The 23,290-nt window shown below is 50.7% G+C and overlaps 1 protein-coding gene across 3 annotated transcripts in view, besides 3 other annotated features; it reads left to right on the top strand.

The window, feature by feature from the left end:
* Positions 1–23,290, top strand: part of SPSB4 (splA/ryanodine receptor domain and SOCS box containing 4) — a 97,265-nt gene that overhangs the window by 21,121 nt on the left and 52,854 nt on the right. Inside the window, exons 3-4 of one of the 3 annotated variants that reach the window (XR_924215.4) lie at positions 7,823–7,941; positions 16,529–21,417. The exons of 1 other annotated variant lie outside the window; for it this stretch is intronic. Coding sequence is in view for 1 of the 2 variants with exons in the window: in XM_017007509.3 (XP_016862998.1) it covers positions 7,823–7,830 (8 nt within the window). In the remaining variant the exon portion in view is untranslated. Of the gene's footprint in view, positions 1–7,822; positions 21,418–23,290 lie in introns of those variants that run through there. One more of the 3 variants, XM_017007509.3, reaches the window with a different exon arrangement.
* Positions 1,528–2,113: an enhancer, noted in NCBI's record as "OCT4-NANOG-H3K27ac-H3K4me1 hESC enhancer chr3:140792837-140793422 (GRCh37/hg19 assembly coordinates)". NCBI's record gives its function as "activates a minimal SCP1, AML or CMV promoter by ChIP-STARR-seq in naive H9 embryonic stem cells {active_cell/tissue: H9 hESC(naive)}" and the evidence as "EXISTENCE:reporter gene assay evidence [ECO:0000049][PMID:30033119]".
* Positions 10,888–11,397: an enhancer, noted in NCBI's record as "H3K27ac-H3K4me1 hESC enhancer chr3:140802197-140802706 (GRCh37/hg19 assembly coordinates)". NCBI's record gives its function as "activates a minimal SCP1, AML or CMV promoter by ChIP-STARR-seq in primed H9 embryonic stem cells {active_cell/tissue: H9 hESC(primed)}" and the evidence as "EXISTENCE:reporter gene assay evidence [ECO:0000049][PMID:30033119]".
* Positions 14,177–14,950: an enhancer, noted in NCBI's record as "H3K27ac-H3K4me1 hESC enhancer chr3:140805486-140806259 (GRCh37/hg19 assembly coordinates)". NCBI's record gives its function as "activates a minimal SCP1, AML or CMV promoter by ChIP-STARR-seq in primed H9 embryonic stem cells {active_cell/tissue: H9 hESC(primed)}" and the evidence as "EXISTENCE:reporter gene assay evidence [ECO:0000049][PMID:30033119]".

A 23,290-nucleotide genomic window follows, 5' to 3' on the forward strand; every position in this document is an offset into this window, starting at 1 on the left:
AGTTCTCACTATTAGTTCATGTGGGAGCTGGTTGTTTAAAAGAGCCTGGCATCTCTCTTACTGTCTCTCTTACCATGTGACACACCTACTTTCCCTTTGCCTTTCGTCATGAGTAAAAGCTTCCTGAGGCCCTCAGCAGAAGCCGTGCCATGTTTGTACAGCCTGCAGAGCCCTGAGCCAAATAAACCTTGTTTCTTTATAAATTACCCAGCCTCAGATATTTCTTTATAGCGACACAAAACAGACTAAAACATTACTCTTGAAAGGAAAGCTGTGCATGTGGCAACAGATTTAAATACTACCAAAGGGCGTATGGTGAAATAACCCCTCCTGTGTATCTCGGCCCCCCATCCGCTCCTGCTGGCAGCCACTATTAGCAGTTTCTTGTCTTTCCAGAGACATTTGTGACAGATAATTTTTAGATCATACTGAAAACATTCCCCTGTATCTTGTTTTCTCCCTTCAATGGACCTTGGCAGTTATCTACTATCAGTTAATGTAGAGCTGCTTCATTCTTTCTTAGCAGTCGCATGGGTCCATGATATGGTTGTGTTATAATCTAATTACTTAGATCCCCATATTTGGACATTTAGGCAGTTTCCAATCTTTGAGCATACATTTTGATCCCAATTGAAATTTCCTTTCTGCCCCCTCTAGCTAATTAACATCCCCAAGCCTCAGTTTTCCCATCTGTGCAGTGGGAATAATTATATGTACCTTTCAGAGTTGCTGTGAGTATTAGAAGTGATGCAGAAATGAAGCACTGCCCAGCATGAGGCTCACAGTAGGTTAATATTGATATGCGTTCCCTGAATTTCTGATTGCGGTGCTGAGCTCATCTTGCGCACCTGATGAAGGCTCGTGAATGACTTTGTTTCCAGTTTAAAATACAGTAGAATCACGTTAATTTTTTCTCTTTTTAAAATTTATTAATTTGATATTAAGGAGGCTTCAGACACATTGTTGGATTAATATTATTTGAGGTGTCTAATTCAGCCAGTCCTTACATAGTGTGTAGTCAACATAAGACACCTAGCCCTTTACTTCACAGAATAAGCCCATAATGTGTGTGTTTTGCTTTTCTGTTATTGCTGCTGCTGCTAATGGTGAAAGTGGTGGCTCTTTGCTGTGGCAACTGCATCTTGGCCTTTTCAACCACCCTATAGCAGCCCTTGCAACAGAGTACATAGTCGGTGCTCAGTAAATGCATATTAATGTCCTGGCCTCCCACCAACTGAATAAGCTTTTCTTTCCTCTGCCACAGGGGGACTTGAGTCACAGTTGGCTGGAGCAGAGGGGCTGGCTATGAGCTGCCCCTGAGTGACCCTTTTTCCATCTCTCATTGTGTCCTGTGTACAGCACATCTGTCCCTGCACACAGGCCAAGCAGAGGCTGCTTGATGGGTCAGGCATGTCAATGCAGGATCCTGACATTCAGAAACTGCCCCCTACCCTTTGTTTGAAAGGAACAGTCTCTCAGTTGAGAAAAGGCCTCGATCAGATGCTGTGGCCCTTCTTTGAAGGAGGTTTTCATATTAACATAGTCATAATTCGGTTCATGGAAGTCTGGCTTGCAGAAAGGTGGCTTTGAAATGCAGGTGACAGCATTTGAAATCAGGCTTAATCAGGACAAGCATCACCGTGGGCCACAGCATGGTCTTGTGGGAAGAGCAGGGTTCAGGGGTCTTCCAGCACTGGCTTGGCTTCAGTCCTGACTTGGTTTCTAATTAGCTGTGACCCTGAACAAGTCATTTCATGCCCAAGCCTTCATTTTCTCATCTGAAAAACAAACTTACTTTGCTACGAGGTGTCAGGATCATGGATTAATATATAGAAAGTGACTGATCTAGTGCCTAGAACGTAGCTACTGAAAAAGCGGTAGGTTTAAAAATGGCTAATTATGACTATTACTGCTCTCATAAATTGGTAAAATTACAGTTATTAAATATAGAAATAATTATGGTTATTAAATTTTGGTCCACACTGTGAAACTGAAGGATTTCACACGAGGGAATCTGTGGTGGTTTGGATGGTCTTGGACTCGTTTCTCTCTAAGATACATGATGGAAATGCCACCTGAGGTTCACAGGCCATTGTGAGTTTGTTGCAAATGAGCTGGGAGTGTTTAGCCTTCCCTGTGAGCGGTTTCCGGCTGCATGTCTTATTCAAGTGTTTCTCTAAAAGGCCGCAGCTCCCCGTGGTGACTTGCCTGGTGGACATGCATTCACAAGGATACCCAAATGAGCAGCACCTTCACCAGCTGTGTGCAGGCAGACATTCAGCAGGGATGAGCTGCCGAGGTGGCGGCCCTGAGGGCCGGCGTCCACCTCTGCGAAAATAGTGACTTGGTCTAGTTGTGGGCTGGCCATTATTGGACCTTTGGGAAAAAGGGAAGGGGAAGAGGTAAAGGGTCTCACCTTTTCAGGCCCTGGCAGAAGGGTGAAGGCAAAGGCCCCAGACACAGGGATAGAAGAGATGGTATCTGGCAGCCAATGCAAGACCCACCTTTTACAGATGGGAGCTGACTGGACCAGAGAGCTGGGAGGCTTTGCCCAAGGTTACCTGCCAGGTAGTGGCAGAACCTGAACTAAAACCCAGGCCTCCAATCCCCCTTGAAAATGTTCCCCATCAGAAACAAGGGAGTGAGAATTCAATGCAGTTTCTGAGTCCGTATTGAAAAACACAGCTGTGGGAGGATGTAGGAGCTTAGGAGGAGAGTGATTAGGGCCAGGGGTGATGCTGATGGGTTGGAGGGACTTTCTGAGGGGAGGCCTTGGAGCTTGGGCAGAGTTTAGACCAGTGTCTCCCCACAACACACACAGATGAAGACCCTCCATGGCTTCTCAGTGCCTCCTGCATGTCAGAGACCCTGTCCTGGCCGCCGCTCAGACCATACAACCAGGGGGTTAGCACAGTCACAGATACCCAGGTAAGAACTGGTCTTCCTGTTTAGTACCTGCGTGACCTGGGCATAAGTTTCCTAACTTTGCAGTTCCTCGGTATCCTCACCTGTAAAGTGGGCATAGTGATGGCACTTACCCCGTAGAGTTGTCAGCAACACTTCTCAAACCTCAGTGTGCATTCAAGCCACCTGGTGACCTTCTTAAAATGCTGATTCTGACTTAGTAGGACTGGGTCGGGCCCAAGATTCTGCATTTCTAACAAGCTCCTGGATGATGCTGATGAAGATGTAACACAGATCAAGGGCCCCCAATCACAGCTTATCCCCACGCCCCACCATCCACCCATCTACCCGCCATGCTGAATGATCCCGCAGCCAAGCTAAAATGCATATTCCAGCCGGGCTTTGTGGCTCACGCTTGTAATCCCAGCACTTTGGGAGGCCGAGGCAGGCGGATCACTTGAGGTCAGGAGTTCGAGACCACCCTGTCCAACACGACGAAACCCTGTCTCTACTAAAAATACAAAAAAAAAAAAAAAAAAAAAAGCCAGGTATAGTACACATGCCTGTAATCCCAGCTACTCAGGAGGCTGAGGCACAAGAATGATTTGAACCCGAAGGTGGAGGTTGCAGTGAGCTGAGATCGAGCCACTGCACTCCACCCTGGGCAACAGAGTGAAACTGTGTCTCAAAAAAGTAAAAAATAAATAAGATAAAATAAAATGCGTATTCCTCTGTGCCTTGGTCTGTGTTGCCCTCTTTGTTGGAAATGGCCCACTTCCCTGATTCCAGCTCAGCCTGGGGTTACCGAGCCTGGCTCTGCCCTCGTCCTTGCCACCTGGCTGACGCCAGGCCAGTCTCAGGCCTTGCTTGGCCCTGCTCCCGACAAGGCAGCTATGCCTTCTGCATTTCCTCCTTTTCACGTCCGGCCCCACTTCCCTTCCCAGCTACCAAGTGACTCCATGTATGTGCCCTGGAACCCAAATTCTTATAGTTGCCAATGCAGTGTACACGAGTAAATCCACACTCTTATCCATGAATGTTCCTGTGAGGATGACTTTGTTTGGCAAGGGATTACTGCAAATGGAAACAGCTCTTTGTTAAACAGTCATTGATTGAGCACTCACAAAAGGCCAGACACTGCCCAGCTCCACCGCCCTGCACAAAGGCTTGTCAGCACCCTATGCAGCATAGCTCATTTAATCTCCACGGGTGAGGAGAAGTGCTGGTATCACAGTCTGCACATGTGGAGATTAGGCCTGAGGGACATGAAGAGCCAGCAGTTGCTTGGGGGGTGTCTGTCCCGAACTTGAGTCCAGGCCTACTCCAGCACCCACACCTGTAACCTCTGTGCTACTCAGGGTCACGTTGAGTCTTCAGTGGTTTTGCAGGTGGTCCCAGGCCTTGGATTGACTGTGCTTAACAAGAGTTTACTGAAGCCAGCATTGGCAGGCCCCAGTACCACAGCACTTAGATACCCTTAAATACAGTACAGCAAACTGCATTCACTCTGAACTCTTCTGACTTGCTGATGATTCTGAGTGGGTGGTGCTGGGAAAGCATTGAATAGAGGAAGCAAATTTGCCGGGGCGGGGGATGGGGTTTAAGTGAGCGGGGAGAGCCAATGCCCTGCCAGGCTGGCGGCAGCCTTTATTTACAGGGTCGGGAGCCAGCTGATTTGCTTTGGTTAAAGCAAGGGGGCGGTTAGCGTGAGTTACGGCCTCGCCCAGACACTAATAAGGCTGCTTGTCTGAGGCATTCCATAATTCAAGCAAAGGCTGTGCCGCTTAATGGCCCTTCTTCGTCAGATCTTCCAGGACTCGGTGCCTCCTTAATGAGTTATTTGCTTGGGATGAAATTAAGCCGAGACAGCGTGAGCTTGGAAAATACTGCCGTGCAGGCTCTCCCCGGTTCTTCATCCTTCTCAGCGGCTGCTTTCTATAAATAGAGCCGTGAGTTCTGCTTCGTGACCCGCCTGCTGGGAGCCCCAGTGGGCGCCTGGTGTCTCCCATCCCTCTTGTCTCCCACGCCCATGATCTCACTGGTGAGCAGCAGGGGGCTGGAACTGCCAGCAAAGACCTTGTCATCATCCCAGCTTTGAAGTCATTTAAGTAGATGCTTCTGAGTCGATCCAGGGAGCCACAGCTGACTTCCAGATCTTGTCCTCTTTGTTGATGTTTCTCCCTCAAAATGCAATTCATGAGGAGGTCCCAGGGTGAGAGCGTGTTTGCTTCTGGCGTGTTCTGGGGTAGAGGACAGCTCTCTGCCTGATGTTTGAGCCTCACGAGGAAGAGCATGGGAGATACCGTTCATCTCCTAAGGGTGAGGGGTCACCCTTCTGGAGTGAGGGGCCACGGGTCACAACTGAGGGCCACTCACAGTGCTTATGCAGAGGCCAGGCCAGGTGCCAACAGTGGGAGTGGGCTGTTTAGTGAGGGCTCCTTTGGAAGCCCAGAACTCACAAGTTGCCTCAAGGAAGTGGTGAGCATAAGGCTGCATGTGGATTGTGGGAGGCGGCAGGTGGTCCAGGAATGAGAAACCGCTCAGGCACCCCATCACTGCATCAACTGCACGTCTGCCATGGTCTCCCCCCATCTCCTCTATCTTTTCTGTTCCCTCATAATTTGAGGTGCCCCTTGGCTTTGGCTCACTGTGGCCTTGGCAACTTTATAATGTGCAAGCTGGCATGCTGTGTTCCCAGATCTTGGTTTAAAATCCTGTGAGTGTCTGATGGGCCCAGGGCTTCTCCTCAGGTGCAGGCAGAGGCTCCCACTAGCCCTCTGGTTGGGATGGGCCTAGCTGCTTATTCCTCAGCTGTGGAAGAGCTTGGCCCTTAGCATACTTGCCTGGACCTCAGTATCCTTCAGGGCATGTGGAAGACACAGATCTCTGCTGTCTCTCACCTGCCGAATCAGAAACCCTTGCAGTGGGGCTTGGAACGTGTGTGTCACAAGCTTCCCAGTTGACTTGTGCCATCAGTCCCTGCACTGGCCAGAAGTCAGCTGCCTGGAATGCCTGGCTGGAAGGAGGGTGTGGGGAGTGCAAGGTCCTTAGGGGCAGGGTATGCTGGAGGGAGCCACAATGCTCCAGATTCCCAGGAACCGGTTGGGGAGCTCAGTCTAGGGCAGAAGCAAGGATCAGGCTCCCAGTATTGGCTGGAACAAGCTTGGGGGACCTGAAGATCCTTTCCATCAACTCTGCCACAAAGGAAAGGTGTGTTTAGCAGAATTCAGGGGCTTTCCTCTCCAAAGGGACAATGTGTCCATGCAACCTAAGTACCAGTGGTAGATGCTCTAATTTGAAAAAGCAGCTTCATTTCACTGTTTCTTCCTGGTACCTCCTGAGGGGCCTCTGGGTTAAGCGCCAAGCACTCTGCCAAAAGCCAGGCCCTCCGCTGCAGTTCCAGGAGGTACGGTGCTCTTGTGTGCACCACTTCTGCACCCTCAAGATTGTGTAGTACAGCCTCAAGTCCTCCCAGTCACTGCCCTTTTCCCGACAGCAGGGGCTGGGCTGTTCTATTTGTCCTGGCATGTAGTGGATTCTGTGTGTGTTTGTTGAATGAGCTGCTGCATCACTCAGAGGCCACACGGTAGGATGAAAAGCACATTTGGGGCCGGGCACGGTGGCTCATGCCTGTAATCCCAGCACTTTGGGAGGCCGAGGTGGGCGGATCACAAGGTCAGGAGATTGAGACCATCCTGGCTAACATGGTGAAACCCCGTCTCTACTAAAAATACACAAAAATAGCCGGGTGTGGTGGCAGGCACCTGTAGTCCCAGCTACTTGGGAGGCTGAGGCAGGAGGATGGCGTGAACCCGGCAGGTGGAGGTTGTAGTGAGCTGAGATCACACCACTGCACTCCAGCCTGAGCTCCAGACAGAGCAAGACTCCATCTCAAAAAAAAAAAAAAGAAAAGCACATTTGGTTGGCAGCAGAGGCCCAGGGAAAGAGTGCCCATTTCCCACAGCATCCCACAAAACAGAAAGAGTATAGACAAGCTTCTTACTGAAATTTTGGAGAAGGGAATCCTGAGAAATTTCCAGTTAGCTACCAATAGTAAATTGAAATTCATTGCACCCTGCCCGTAGCTACTTAATTTGATATGAGTGTAAAGAAGCCATTCCACTTTCCTCAATCACATGCAATCCTGCTAGGTCAATCGGCCAAGCAGCGTGGGGAGGGCAGTGACACCCAGGCATCTATCCCTGCACCAGTGTTTATGAAGGGCCTGTGGTGTGCTGACCCTTAGCCGGAAGCTGGGCAGCAGTGGTGGGCAAGGCAGGTCCAGTTTCCACTCTCATGGAGGAAACAGAGTAAACCAAGAATACATGCTTATGAAAATTCATAAATGCTTATGAAAATCCAGATATAGAACAAAGTTGGAGAATATGATAAGGGAGGGAGGTCAGCTGCTGCAGTGGTCCCCTTTGGGGGAGGGGCATTTAAGTGAGACCTAAATGATGAGGCAGAGGGAGCCATGTGAAGATCTAGGGGAAGAGCGAGTCAGTGGGGACCAACAGGCAAGCCCATGGCTGGCAGGGCTGGGGATCATGGAGGGCAGAGTGGGGGTGGTGAGGCTCAGGGGTCAGCAGCAGGGAGACACCAACATGTCTTTCCATCTTTTAGACTTCAGTCATTCCACTATTTTTTTTAAAAGTTATACACAATCTCATTTTAAAAAAGTAATTCTTACTACCAGTCTCTTTTCCACTGGGACAGGTCTCCCCGCTGCTAAAAAATGGCATGTTGTTGGAACTTTGGTCAGGGTGGCCTTTGGTTGAGGTGGATATGGCCATTTGCATTTTACAGACAAGTTAATTGAGGCCCAGAAAGGTTGAGAGACTCGCCCAGGGTTGCACCATGAGTGGTAGAGCTGATTTGAACCTCCATCTTGTGCTTTTCCGTCTTGCCATTGCTCCAGAAAACTGAATTCCAGGCTTTTTAAGAAAGCATAGAGTTCCCTGGGTCTACTAAGAACCATCTGGCAGTCCAGCCAAGAAAAGGGGCCTCTGTAAAGCAGTGAACTCAGCGTGAGCTTTGGTAAGTCTCAACTCTGTCCTGTTCTTGGGCAGGGCATTTGTGTTTCAGTCTTCCCTACCTGGGGCAAGTGAGTGACCCAGGGCTTGGAGCCCACCCCGACCTCTGTAGCTGTGACATATGTCCCCCGCCTTGTCCATCATGCTGCAGCCTCTCCACATTCTTGGCTGGACCCTGGGAAGGGCAGCACCAGGGCAGGGCTCTGCTTGGGTAAGCTCTGGCTTCCCCTTTTGTCACCTGGGGTGGTGGAGCTCAAGCTGGCCTGGGCCCTTGTCACCACCATGCTGCGCAAGCCACCCAGGAGAGAAGTGGTGAATTGTGGGCTTGTATTTCCTTTTTGGCTGACACAGGCAACCTCCCTTGGATATTTAAGGTGTTCTGCCACAGTGGACTGTTCAGATATGTGAAAGTTAAAAAAGCATACTCAACCTGAACTGAGTTGTACCCAGAGTCTGGTGTGGGATTATAAAAGGCAGGAGGCGGACAGGTCCTGGAAAGAGCACTTGTCTGGGAGCCAGGAAACCTGGCCCAGTGGGCTCCAGCTTGCCCACTTGCTCTGTGACCTCGGGGAAGTCAGCTCCTCTCTTTGTGCCTCAGTTTCTCCACTGCAAGGAGGGGATTGGATAAGATGACCTCAAGTGGTCTCCATCATTCTGCAGTCTCTGAGATGGAGGGACTGGGCATCTGGATTTTTTGGATGACAAACACTTTACACTGTGGTGCTACATCAGCTCCACATCTGCCCTATCCAATGTGGGAGCCACTAGCCCTAACCATATGTGGTCGTTTAATTAAAATCAAATAAAGTTAAATGTTCAGTTACTTGGTTGTGCTAGCCGCATCCAAATGCTCCACAGACACGGCTCGTGGCTGCCCTATTGGATGAGCCCATGTAAACCATTCCGACCGCGGCTCAAAGTTCTACTGGATGGGGCTGCTTTAGAGCCACTGGAGAGGGCTGAGGAGCCCCAGAGAGAGAGCACAGGCCTCTGTTTCTGCCATGGGACTTCTTCTGGGCCAGTGGTCAGCAGAGTGGCTCCAGGGCCCAGGGAGTGAGTTCAAGTGGGGGTGGGGGTAGGAGAAAGATTTAGCCCAGATACCAGCCAATGAGTGTCAGGCTGCAGGACCAGAAAACCTTAGGCGAATGTCAAAGGTCTTTGGTGGTGGGGGGTAGCCACTGACAGGAGGTATGCCAGGAATGCTGAGGAGGGCCTGGGGGACAGCAGGGGCCAGGAGCTCTGCGGGGGGAGGGGCAGCTGTGCAGAACACAGTGGCAGTTCTGCAGCAGGCCTCTTGCTAGCTCTGTGTCCTTGGGGACGTCCCTGAGCCTGCTGAGCCTCCATTTCTTTGTGGGTGAAATGGGAAAAATAAGAAAGAGGGCTGTTATGGAGATGAAATAAAGCAAAACCTGTGAAAGCCCCTTGTAAATCGCAAAGGCCTGGACGGCGTTAGGGGCTACTTCATATGGCACTATTATTTATCTCAGCTTGTAATCCTAGACTGTCCTCAGTTATGATTTTAAGGTTCTGGGGTGTCCATCCTGTCTTTCTGATGGGGCTGTAGACCATTTAGAGAAGGAGACCAGCCATGTCCCTCCTGTATCCCCAACAGCCATGAACAGTGCTGGTGGCTGCCGCATGGGGAGCACACGTCTTTCTCTTTTCCTCCTGACCTGGTGGCCTTTCACCAGGCCATATTCCTGCCCCAAGAGTTGTTGAACACATTCCTTGTCCCTGACACATGTGTGCATCTGGCTGGGTCTGGTTGTCATTTGCTGAACCCATGGCCCATCGTGAGCCCCACCACATGAAAACAATTCGGGGGCAGAGGTCAAAAGCCAGAGCTGGGCTTTGCCAGGTCTCCCAGGGAGTGCGCCTGGCAGGAGGTAGCCCAGTGCCAGGCTGCATCAGGCGGCCCCTCCCCAGGCTGGGCCAGGCTCTCATCTGCATCCATGGTTGGGAGGTGGCATTTCTGGCTGACTTATTGATGATGGATTGTCTGCTACACTCTAGCCCTGGGTGGGTTCATTGCTTAGGTCTGGCTTTGGCTTTTCGTGAGGTCCACACCACAGACATGCAGAACACAGAGAGGAGTTTGAGCCCTGCCAGATAAACTTTTTCTGTCACAGAACTGCTGTGCTTTCCAGCAATATAGGCGGTGAAGAAAAGCCAAAGTAACCATTTGATGATTATCTCCTTGCCCCAACCCAGGTGCTATCTATCTATCTATCTATCTATCTATCTATCTATCTATCTATCTTTCCATTAAATCCTTTTAGCCCCATGTGTGAAGTGTTAATAATATCCCCATTTCACAGATGGGGAAACTGAGGCTGTGAACGGCTGAAAGGTTTCAGGGCCAGAACTAGAATTTGGACTCTAGTCTGCCTGATTTCAGGCTCAAAGCGTCCCTTTCAGAATGTCCTGAGGGCTCTTTTCTTCCCCTGCTGTCTTCACTCTGACCATGATGAGCTGCACCAGGCTTTCTAAATATCTGAAACGCTCTACGCCATCCCTGCTTTCTTTGTTTGGCCTCAGCGTGGTGATCTGGGCTTCCTCAGATTTGGGTTTAAGGCCAGGTTTTGCTGAGCTGTGTGACCTGTGTCCACCATGGACCTCCCCAGACCATGATGAGCTGCACCAGGCTTTCTAAGTATCTGAAATGCTCTAGGCCATCTCTGCTTTCTTTCTTTGGCCTCAACGTGGTGATCTGGGCTTCCTTAGATTTGGGTTTAAGGCCAGGTTTTGCTGAGCTGTGTGACCTGTGTCCACCACAGGTCCCCCCAGGTGCCCTCACTAGAGTGGGGGTGCCTGGCCAGCTTATTTGATGGAGGAGATAGAGGGCTAGAGTGCCACGTGCATGGCTTCCCCGGCTGGTTTGGAGGGCCCATGGGGACTGTGTACTGTGACTTTTCCAAGGAGACAATCACTGTTGTCTCCACACTGCCACCCCCCCACCCTCTGTAGAGCCCTGGATGGTGCCCCTTATGGTCCCAGGGCGTGTCCAGCAGAAGATATGAGAAAGGCCCCTGCCCCACTTGGGGCTTAGCTCTGCCCCTTTCTCTGGGCAGGGCCAGGGAGGTGACCCTTTTGTGTGGCACCCAGCACCAGAACCTGCTTCTCCACCTCCCCCAGCAGAGGAGTGCGACCTCCCAGCCCTCAGTGCAGCCTCCACATCCCCCGGCGGGCAAGTCTCTGCCTCCATGCTTCTGCTTGTGCTGTGCTCCCTGCCTGATGCTGGCCCACTTCTCCACCTGTCTAAAGCTATCCTTTCTGGAGGCTCCGAGCAATGCCACCTTGGTTTCTAAAGTCCTCTTTAATGACCTTAGTCCATATTGCCCATTCTGTTCTGTGCTGCTGGAGCACATTTGCGGTGGTGAAGGGGGTCTGTGGGGTCTTTATAAGGCATGGCCCCTTCTTAGTGAGCAATCCTCACAGGCCTTTTTCTGAGACTCCTCGTTTGACTCTGGCCCCTGCTTACCTCCCTCCCCTCTGAACTCCAGAACCCTCTGGAGGCCCTGCAGGGTAGAGGGGAAAGACTCTGAAGTTGGGCAGAAAGCCTGGGCTTGCCTCACAGCTCTGCCACTGCAGGCTGTGGGACTCTGCTCTTTGGCGTCATCATCTGTAGAATGCGGCTAATAATGGCAGAGCGAGGTGGATGAGGCCGCAGTGTGGGAAGCCCGGCGTCGCTGGGTAGAGCTCATGTGGATTTACTTCCTCTCCCAGAGAGTAACAGCATCTGATGCAGACCCAGGGAGACAGTAGGCACACGATAAATACTTCTTGACTTTTTTAATGCTTTCTTTTGTGATGTTTCTTTTAAAAGCAACCTAAGGCACTCTATGGCCTGGAGCAGAAGCATAGGGCTTGCTCAGCCTCTGAAGGGGCCTCTAACCGTCCCTTCCCTCCACCTCCCCCACACCCCTCTCCTGGCCTCTCCTTGCCCTCACCCTCATGCCGCCTGGGTGGCTGCACTGGCCTATAAATCAAACGGGTCCCTGGAGACCTTTGACCCAAACCAGATGGCTGTACTATGCCAGCACAGAGTAAGCTTAGCTTCCAACAATGCTTGGCCCCCCTCCCCCTGCCTGCCCTGGGGCTTGGAACATTTTTAGGCAGCTGCCCTGTCAATCACAAACACTTGGTGATCCCAGCCCGGGCAGCAGCTGGAGGCTGTGACCTCTCCAAGACTTCAGGGACCATCTTGGAGATATTCCATTAAGCCATATAAAGATCTCTGGAGGGTCTGTGGTGTCTACTTGTTATGGCACAGGCATTAACCTGGACCAATAGACCAAGCTGGCATTCCCTGTGCTGCTATCTCTCCCTCCTCCTCCTCCAAGAAGCTTTTCTGCACTACGGCAGCTGCTGGAGCTTCTATAGCTCAGAATGTCTGACCCCTCCAGATGCTCATTCATACCTTGTTCATTCTTTCTGCAAACATTTACTGTGCTTCATCTGCCTGGGCCCATGGGGAAGATCAGACACTGCCCTTGTGCCAGTAAGTCCGAAAGACAGCTATGGATACAGAATTGTAGGAATTGGTGATAGGGGTTGTAATTGAGCAGGAAGGCCAGGGCACTGTGGGAACTCAAGATGGATGCACTGCAGTGTCAGAATCCAGGACAGCTTTCCAGAGAGGAGTGCTTGAGCCGAGTCTTGGAGGATGGGTTGGCATTTGCCAAATAGATAGGGTGGCAGAAGGGTGCTTCAGATAGAAGGAATAGCATGTGGAAGGAAGGTACAGGCACAGGATGGGAACCAGCTTGATGGATTCAGGGACCTGCAAGTTGGACAGCATGCTGGAAGTACACCTAGGGGAGAAAATGAGGAGTTGGAACTGTATCAGTGAGAATTAGATCTGCTTGTTTGCAACCAAAAATGCCTAATACTATGGGCTTAAACAAGAATTTCTCTCTCATGGAAGAGAAGTCTGGAAGCAGGCAGTGCAAGGATGTTGTGGGGCTCCATGATCACTGCCCCAGGCTCCTTCTGCCTGCTGCTCCACCTTCCTACCTTGTGGCTTCCATTCCCATAGGTACCTCATTGTCTGGAATGGCTGCTAGAGCTTCAGCCATTGCACCCACATTCCAGGCAGCAGAATGGAAGAGCTAAAGGAGGGCACGTGACTCATCTTTTAAAAGATTTTTCTGAAATGCCTTACTATGCTTCTGTGCATAGCCCAATGGCCAGAACACTATCACATGACCACTTCTAGTGCAAGGAAGCTGAGAGATACAGTTCTGATCAGTAGGTGCTGCCTAGAGCACTGTTCTGCAAAGGATTCTGCAGCCCAATCTTACGTCTGTGGGAAAGAACACTGTGATCAATTAATGATGCCTCCCTTTGGTGTGGGTGTGGAGCCAATAGCATGTGTCTTGCTGGTCTTCTGCCAGAAGGTCCCCTCCCTAGGGATTCCCAAGGTTTGGTGCAGCTCCTGCAAACAGAGCTGGCACATGGCCAGCCATCCCCCAAAGCCCCAAAGCAGAGCGGAATTTAGGTGAAGGGTTTCTTGGTGCTCTGCAGTCTGATTTTATTTCTGATCTGCAGCCTCCTTAAGGCATCCATTGCCCTTCAGCAGGGCTTGAGTCTGCAGAATGGTCTGTGTGGTTGGAGCATGAATTAGGAGGAAAGAAGGAAATACAATGTCACTAATGTAGCTGCAGCCTCATCCCCTGGTGAGAGGTTTTCCAAAATGCAGTAATACAGAAAGAATTTAAGGGAAGTTCTGAGCCATTTTATTTTCACACCTGGAAATGCATTGTCTTTTGGTTTAATTTCACTCCTGCTGTGTGTCACAGCCCAGGGTTTCCTTAGCTGTGAAAGGGGGTAATACTACCTTCCTTGAAGGGTTTTTGAGAGGATCACATGAAATAAAAGAGGGCAAAGCAGGTGGGAGACACAGAGGGTAGCAATTAGGTGCAGAGTTTATGTTCAAACTGCCTGGGTTCCAGTCTTAGCTTTCCTGCTTGCTTGCTGTGTGATCCTGCATCTGTTAATTAACCTCTCTGTGCTTCAGTTTCCTTGCCTGTAAAATGGAGATGATGATAATAGTGCCCACCTTATGGGGCTGTTTTGAGGCCTGTACATATGACATATACATAAACATCTTAAGACCTGGCACACAGTGTGGACGTGTAAGTGGTAATGGCTCTTTGGCCATGGTACAGTATTTGGATCCAACAGGTCTGGGATAAGATCCAGGGTAAATTACTCTTCTAAGCCCCAGTTTCTTTATTTGAAACAAGGATAATGTGACTTGCCTTGCAGAGTGAGGATTACTGACAGAATAACTGTAAAGTCCTGACACATAGGACATACGCAATAAGTTAGAACTATGGTGAAGATTATAAAATGATACCGTGTCCCAGGCTCTGTTATCAGCACTTTATATGTGTCACCTCTTTTATCTCATAAGAACACTATAGAGGCAGGTGGTGTTAACATTCCTCTTGGGGAAACTGAGGCATAGAGGCTTGCCCAAGGTCACGTAGCTGGTAAGAAAGGAAGCTGAGAGTTGATCTCCTGGGTCAGCTGATCCAGAGCCTGTGCTATCCTGCTTGGGAACACTGATTCTGCAGAGGAGCAGGCCCTGCGTTTAAGAGCAGAGGGAAGGGGATAAAGGTGGCCCAGAGCTTCAGGGCCAGCTGCCTGGAAGATGACACGCGCACAGCACAGAGGACTAGGGCTTCTGAGCCTTCACAGCCAGATTTGCATGCAGGACCCCGACCCTTATTCAGGAGGATGAGCTCTCTGAGCCTATCTTGAAGGGGGCTGTCCTTCTGGGGCTGGCGTAGCAGGCAGTGTGCACAGTAGTATGGCTGCAGTAGGTTGACTGGCCGGAAGGAGACCTCTAGGAGGCCTGGAGCATGAGGCTGCAGAATTTAGACTTCCTGTAGGCAGTGGGAGCTGTGTGACAGTCTGACGGAGCATGATGAAAGCCAGGTGTTAGGAGGATTCTCCTTTAGTGAAGTGGTAGGAAGCACCAGGGGGCCTTGGACAGACAAAATTGAAGAAGGTGGAGGGAGGCAGGCCACATAGGGAGGTAACCCAGGAAGAGGGTCCCAGTATGGGGTAAAATGTCCAGCATGTGCTGGGGGAGCCCCCAGTTGTAGGGTCCCAGTGACGTCAGGCACTGTGGCAGCTGCTTTACATCCATGATCTCATTTGATCCTTAAATAGTCCTGGGAAGTGTGTGTGATGTACCCATTTTCCAGATGAGCAAACAGCCTCGGAAGGTCAAGTGGTGGCTTGAGGTTGCAAGGCCAGGGAGTGGCAGAGCTGGACCAGGGCCCAGGGCTGCATACCAAGCCACAGAGTCCTGCATTCCCCACGTGCCCACCAAGGCAAATGCGGGCAGGGCAGAGGAGGAATGGGAGGGGATGATGGCAATTGTCTCTAGTCGCCTGTGAGGAGTTGCTGCCGGATGCGTTCTGGCCTTGTCTGTGGTAGGGGTGGGGAGTGGTGAGATGCTTCTGTACTTTACAACCTTAAATGATAGACTTTTCTTTAGGAAACAAAAGTTTGGTTGGGCTCAGTGAGCAGGAAAATGGAAGTGACCCTTGAGCGGAGATTTAAAGCCCTGTTGGCCATTTAGGCAGCACTGTGTTTAACAGCTGAGACACAGCATCAGGGTGATAACTCCGCAGTGTGCTGTGGGGTGGGGAATGGCCCAAGGGGGTCTCTCTGCTCTCTGAGTTCCATCTGGTCCTGAAACTCCGTCCCCCAGGGCTCTCTTGGAAATGGACCCAGGAGCTACCCACACCTTCCCCTGGACTGCAGAAGCTGTTAGTGCTGGCTTCAAGGGAAGTTGTTGCCAGCGGTACACAGGGACACAGAAAAGGGCGCACAGTTAAATGTACTGCGTACATCCATGCTACAAAGAATAATGCTGGAAGGTATATTCCAAACAGGCTATTGACGATTACTTCTAGGTGGCAGGATAAGACGTGAATTTTCCTGCGTCTTTGCGCTTTTATGTACTTCCAAATCAACACATACAAAAGGATATAACTGTGAAAATTCTAAAGTGCCTCTATCCCCACTTCCTAGCAGACTCTTGGGGTGCCCCCACCACATCCTCTCAGCTCAACTGGTTAGGTACTGCTGTGGGCATCAGTCAGTTTTGCTTTCTCCTAAGCTGCAGGTAGCCACTCAGCCGGATGCAGGCAGCACCGGGATGTGCAGGGGAGTTAACACCCTTGGGGATACCCCTCAATGACTCGGAGACAGGAGTCCATGGTTAAGTGCCCCCAGCTCCCCAGCCTCCAGGGAGACAGTTCTGAGGTCCATCCTACATAGATGCTCAGAGCATCCTAGTGAATGAGCCCAGGATGCCCACAGCAGTATGCAGCTCATTCACACATTCTCTCTACTCTTCCTCCCTTCCCTGTCTCACTTTCTCCGTCTCTCATTTTCATCTCCTGAGATCCTCCCACAAAGCTATCTGCACCCACATCTTTGTCTCAGGAACCCAAACCAAGGCCCAATCTGACCAATTTCTCATAGAGCTCCACAGATATATTCTAGGCATATATAAGCACATCTGTGTCCATATCCAAACACTGATATATACACTTTCTTTTTCACAGAGTACAAACGGGGCCACACTGAACTTACCAGTGTGCAACTCGCTTCCTTCATGATTGAATGAAACATTGCAGGAGGAATTTCAGGCCAAGGAGCCCTTCCTGGCAGCGTCAATCCTGCTTAGGGGGTCATCCCCATCCTCCAAGTTTGGGACCAACCCAAGCCAGAGGCTACTGGTCCTTAAGGAAGGGGTGTGTGTGACAAGTTTTTGCTCTCTTCAGGTGGACGAGGGTCCAAACACTGGCTGACCTTTCCCCATCTGCACCGGGAGGCCAGACCAGGATGGGGATTTGCAGCCACAAAGATTGGCCAAAACGGTTCCAGCCCATACGTCCAGCAGGAGTAGAACAGTGCAGTAAGGACCCCAGGTGCCCACAGACCTCAGAAAGGATACACAGGACACAGAGGAGTCAGGGAGTGAAAGGAGGGCTGTGCAGAGGAGGTAACACTCTGAGTCCTGAAATCTGGGTATTTGCCTAGTGGAGTAGAGCCTGGAGGAGAAGGAGGGGCCTAGCAGGAAGGCAAGGCAGGCCAGAGGCCAGCTTGAACAAAGGTGGAGGGAGGAGATGAGTGTGGGGCAGGTAAGACAGTGAGCAGAGGTGGTGTTTTCAACGTCTTGGCCTGTAGTTTTCCTGAATGGCAATGAAGCATTTTATCAGATTTTCGCAGCCAGGCCTGTGCCAGCAGCCTCAGGGTTGGGAACCAGATGAGATGATGGACACATTTGGACAGAACCTCTTACCTTATTCTTTGGGGAAATTTGTCAAAAGCCAGTTATCTTTGCAAAACCAATTTTCAGGGATTTCACAGAAATCATTTCACAATTTTTGGGTGTTGACAGCTCTGCCATTAATCAGCTAGGGTGACCTTGGGAAAGTCACTCTAGGTCCTGCTTTAGAATTGCTTTTTTTGTTGTTTTGAAAGCAGCTGATAAAATCTTGCAGTGGGGTGGGGAGATCTAGGAACACTTGTCTTGGTTGGTGTTGGCCACTCCCTCCCTCCCCCGTCCCTTGTGTTTTTGCTCCTGCCTCCCTTACAGACCACTTATAAATGAGGGGAAATGCTAAGCAGAACAATTCTTTCTCATCCCCTCTTCTCTCCCTCTCTTCTCCTGCTTCCCAGTTTGGGAATGTATTAATATGTTGGTGTTAGCCCAGAATTTAAACTCCCAATTCTACCACCATGTGTCCATGAGAAAGTCCATTTTTAAATTAACTGAATCTGCACATATTAATTGAGTACCTACTACATGCCAAGCACTATTCCAGGCACTGAGGACACAAAACAGCAGGGACAAAACGGACAAAAGTCTCTGTCCTCATGAAGCTTATATTTTAGTAGGTGGAGACAGAAAATCAGTCAGTAAATGAACAGTAAAGTGTTAGCTAATGATAAGTACGGTGGAGAAAAATAAAATAGGAAAGGAGCTGGAGTGTGTTGGAGGAGGCTGGGGCTTGCAATTTTAAATAAGATGGTTGAGAAACTCGTGGAGAAAGTGATATTTAAGCAAAAAAAACTTGAAAGAGGGGAGGGAGTGAGCTATGTGGGTATCTCTGGGGAGGGTTATCCAGGCAGCAGAAACAGCATGTACAAAGGCTCTGTGGTACATGTGTTAGAACCCAAGAGCAAGGGAGAGAGGAGCAGGGCCTGAGACCAGAGCGAAACCGGGCACAGAGGTTAGCCGATCAAGGATGATGTTTGGCTTTTTCTCTGAGTGAGACGGGGAGTCACTACAGACTTTTGAGAAGAAGGGTGGCATGATTTGCCTAGGTTTTAAAAGGATCACTTTAACTGCAATCTTGAAAATAGACCGTAGAGGGGCCAGGGCAGAAGTAAGGAGGCCAGCTAGGAAGGAGGCTATTTCAATTAAGGTAAGAGATGCTGGTGGCTTGGCTCGGGATGGCAGCAGTGAAGATGGTGAGAAGTAGTTGGATGCTGGATTTATTTTGAAAGTGAAGCCAACATAATTTGCTGTAAAGGATAAGAAAAGAGTCAAGGATAACTCCATGGTTTTGGGCCCAAGTGACTGGAAGGATGGAGGGGCCATTCACCAAGATGGGCAAGACTGTGGGTTGGGGAGTGGCCAGCAGGGGCTCAGATTTGGACATGCTATGGTTGAGATGCCCATCGGACATCCATGAGGAGGTTCTGTGTGGACAGAGGTCAAGCATACAGATTTTTAAAATAGCCATGATGTAGCATGAAATCCCCTGGCGAAGGAGGGTGGCTACTGAAGAGAAGAGGTCCCAGCACCAAGCCCTTGGGCACTGTAATGCTTAGAAACCAAGGCTCAGTTTCTGCTTCTGTAAAGTAGGGATAAAAGCCATAACCACCTCGTGAGCATTGTCATGGAGATTAGTGAGACAGTCCATGTAATAAAGTGCATACAGTAAGAGTACCAAAAACATGAGTTTCTATTAATGACAGAAATTATTGTTTCAACAAGCATGATGCTGTCTACTTATAAGTGCTTTTCAACTTTTGAATCTGTTTTCTATTATTTTTGACCGTCAAAACTGTCCTGAGCAATAAGGCAGGACATAATCCTTCCCATCTGACAAGTGAGAACCCTGAGTTCAGAGAGTGTAAGGGAAGTGCCCAGATCTCCACCACATGTTGGTGACAGAGCCAGGGCTGTCATGGAAACCCCAGACTCCTGCTCCTCTGATCTCTCTGCCACAGCCTGTAAATGCTGACAAATGACTTAATTAAAGTAGTGCAGGTGCTGTTTGCCAGCAGTAATGTGGACGCTGACTTCGCTCAGGATAGCCCAATGGCACTGCCCACTACAGGTGGTACCAGGGGCCCGGGTTCATGCTAAAAATGGCCAGGGAACACAGGCTGCAACCTACAGAGGTGGTGACAGGGCAGAGAGACTTCCTTTTGTCAGACAGTTTCCTTTTGGAAGGCAGATGAGCAGGTAGAGCTCATTCCCTACCAGCTCCCTTCAGCAAAGCCTGTGTCTCTGGAGCCTGCTCAGCCCAGATGCTGCTTTTCTCAGTAGTCAGTGTAACATGGAACACAGCAGGGAGCAAACTCTGGAGGAAGCTATGAACCCAGAGCTGGCAGCATGGGGACAGGCAAGGTCTGGATTTGTGGGAAGCAGAATGTCAGTTTTGAATCAGACGGAGCTAGGTTCAAATCTCAGCTTCCTTTATCCCGAGCTGGGAGACCTGGTGCAAGTCATTTCACCCCTCTGAGCTTTGGCTTTCTCTTCTGCAAGATGGGAGGGTAATCCTTGCTTCTCAGCATTGTTTAAGGATTAGACATAACAATGTAGAGTGAGGGCACAAACAAGGCCTGCTAAATAGTAGATATTATTATTAGCATTAGCATTAGCATATTAGCAAAAGACTTCCAGGGTGAAATCAAACTACATTCAACCAAAGCCCTTCTCCTTCACTAACCATATCTACCATTCTCGACTATCAACAAATGATCAGTCAAGAAGCATTCATTAGAGCCGACTACACATAAGGCTTTGTTGTTGATACAACTAATACCTCCATGTGCCCCTGTGCACCAGGAGTGGGCCTTGAGGCTGGGATGGAACTGGACTCTGCCAGAATAACTCTGGGCAGCTGGGGCCTGCTCAGGCAGCTACCACCTTTGCCCAGACACCCCTTCCTGTACTGCCCTACCAGCTGGCCCTTTAGAGGCTTGACTGGCATGGGGGCTCAGGCTCTTGCTGTGGGGTTTACTGCTGCTGAGGCCGGGTGAGCAGCCTGGGCACTGTCCCAAGGCAGGGAACGAGGAGGCAACATTCCCTGCACGGGAAGGGAACCTTCCTATATGGCAGTGCACGCTCACTGTCTTGTCAACTTCCTCACACCTGTGCTGCTGCAAGGAGGGACTGCTCTCCCATTTTACGAGGCTCAGAGGGGTGAAGTGACATGCCCAAGACCACGCAGCTGTTTCCAGGCTAGTCTGATGCTTGGGCTCTGCTCTTTTTCTTCTGCCTGCTTTCTCCCTCCCCAGGCCTTGCTCAGAGGAGGCTGTAGTCACACCATGGTTGCTGGCCTGCAGTACAGGCTTCAGGGTGGCTCTGGGAAGGGGGTGGCAGTGGGGCTGAGACCGCATGACAGGAAAAGGTGTCAGGAGCCCTATACCTGGATGGGATGGGAAGAGGTGGTGGAAGATGGGGCAGCTGCAGGGATGTGGGAACATTTGCAGAGGGAGTGCAGGGAGACGAAATGGTTCTCTTTCATAAGAGAGTCTGTAGAGAAAAAAATCAAAGCTTCTTGGAACTTAAACCTAAAAATGCCAGCTGAATATGATGACAACAACAATAATAAAATATCTAGTAATGCCATACATTGCAGTAAGCACTTTTCATATTGTCAATCTTCCCAGGAAATCTGCAGAGTAGACCTTAGTTTCTTTTGCACTTGATGGCTCAGAGGGGTCACATAACTTTCCCAAGGTCACCCAACTAATAAGTGACAGAGCCAGGATCCAAACCTGGGTCTGTCTCATTCCAAAACCTTACTCATTCTGCCATACCGAGGTGTAATGCATCACAGTGTTTGAGCTTAGGTGACATAGAGGAGGCCCAGAGAGGTTAAGCTGGGCTTGAGACCCATGGTGGATTAGTCACAGCCAGTGAAGCTTCCGGTTCTCCAGAGCCACCTTCCCACCCTGCGGCGCTGCAGAAGGGCCATGCCGGCTGCCAAGGCTCAGCTGTGCTTCTCTCCCATCATCCCACATGCATATTAATCACACACATAGACTCTAATGAGCAGTTCAACCTCTGCAGCAGGCTCAGACCAGAAGCCAGGGGTCCTCACCAGCTGGGCATGAAGAGCCCTGTGCCCACTCCTCCAGCCCTCCAGAGCCTGAGCCGTGCCTTGCTGAACTCCAGCCTGAGCCATGCCTTGGCCCCCTCTTCTAATACCACACAGGTCTCCCATGTGACCTTGTTCTGGTCACTGCTGTGTTCTGAGCCTCTGTTTCCACCTCTGGGAAGTGGAGGCTAGCAGCACCAGCCCCATGAGATGTCTGTAAAAAAAAAGCCAGGCAGGTCCCGGCAGGCAAATTCCCAGCTGGCCTGGCCAGGTTCCCTGTAGTTGTTGGCAGCCAGGCGTGCTTGCTGTATCTCTACAGCAAGCGGTTTGCAGCAGCCTTGCTGCCTGAGGTCGGCTGGGGCTCAGTGGTCTGCCCTGAGGCTGACACTGCGTATGTCCACCTTCTCTTCCTCCTCCAGCTCCCACAGCTCCCAGTCTCCTCCCGCCATGGCCCTTCTCATCTGACTGTGAGCCTGGTTGGTCTGTGTACCTCTGGCCTCCAGCACTGGGCCGGCTCAGAGCAGGTGCATGGGAACTTGGTGAATGAATGAGTCATTGCATTTGTGCCTGGCTGTTTCCAGATTTGCACTGGCTGCCATGGGACATCCAGGGGAGAGTCTCTGCTCCTGCCCTCTCCAGGTGACCACGGGGAGATGAGGCAGTTCCTTATCTCTGTCAGTTGCCTCGGAGGGAGCTGAGCTAGACAGCTGTTGCATGCACTCTTGTGCCCTGAACTCGGAGAATGGCTGGTGAGAGACTCAGGGAAGGCCTCTTAGAGGAGGCAATTTTTTAATGACGACCTGAAGAGAACATGGGTTGGATATTGTGTTTACTCCTGGGCCTTTTTTTAACCACCCCCAAAAGTCGTGTAACAAAATGCTCTCAAGTGGAAACCACGTTATTGCACCCTGAGGAGGAAGCTGATTGCCTGCTAGACTGAGATGCTGGCTTATTTCTTGGCCTGAAGGTTCTCCCTTGTGCCCTGCCCGCCCCCCGCCCCCCGCCCCTTTGCCCCCCTGGGAGCAGCCCTCAATCACTGTCTGGAGGGTTGGTGTACACATTCTCCAGCCCCCTCACCCTATCCCTTGTGTTGGCTCACCCTGTAGCTGGCTGAGGACAAGCCTCTCCTGCCTGTGCTTCCCTTGTCTCCGAGACCTCATCCATTTTCTCAGTGGCTGCACTGCTCCTCCCAGAGAACATGGGAGATTTAGAAGTACCTCAGAGACCACTAGGGATGCATTGTATCATATGAGAGAAAAGGCTCCACTGGCTGGCGGTGTATTCTGCTGCCAAACGGGGCGTGTCTCGTCGGTCCCTATTTGAGTTAGAGGTGGGGAAGAGGCCGAGGCAGGCCAGGGGTAGGGGTGAAGACCGCTTCAGCCACCGTGCAGAAAGGTGCCTGCGTCCTAGGTGTGCGGGTGATGCCGCAGCCCTCCGCAGTCCCCGGAGAGTTGCTGTGCTGCCGAGACTGCGGAGAGCATGTTCAGGAAGGGATTTCCGGGCTACTGCGAGGCGGAAAATTTGAGACTATAAGCTCCTCAACAGCTGTGTCCTCTGTATTGTTTGGGTCGCTGCCTGGAGCACCATGGCTACGGAATGAATACAAATGCATAATGGAAGAGGCTGTCCTGGGGCGCAGAACAGACTTATTCATTCCCCACTCACCCACCTGCTCCCTTCCCGGCTCCCCTGAGACTTTGCTGGGACTTGGTGTTGTCAAAAGTCATATAAATCCTAATGTCATCTGGCTCTGTTGTCCCCCACTGCCCCAGACATCAGGCAGAAGAAGGGAGTTTTTACTTTTCTCTGTGAGAAGGATGGATGAGGAGGGCCTGTGCCCACCCAAACTTCCTGGGAAGCTGCCAGGACCTGGACCCCTTGTGTCCTGTCCCCTCGGAACATTCTGGAAAATCTATCCCAGTGCTTTCTGCTTATGAAGCTGGGCCTGAGGCTAACCAGGGTGGAGCTGGCACTGTGGGC

The sequence above is a fragment of the Homo sapiens genome, chromosome 3 (assembly GCF_000001405.40).
Source record: "Homo sapiens chromosome 3, GRCh38.p14 Primary Assembly".
Taxonomy (NCBI): Eukaryota; Metazoa; Chordata; class Mammalia; order Primates; family Hominidae; genus Homo; species Homo sapiens.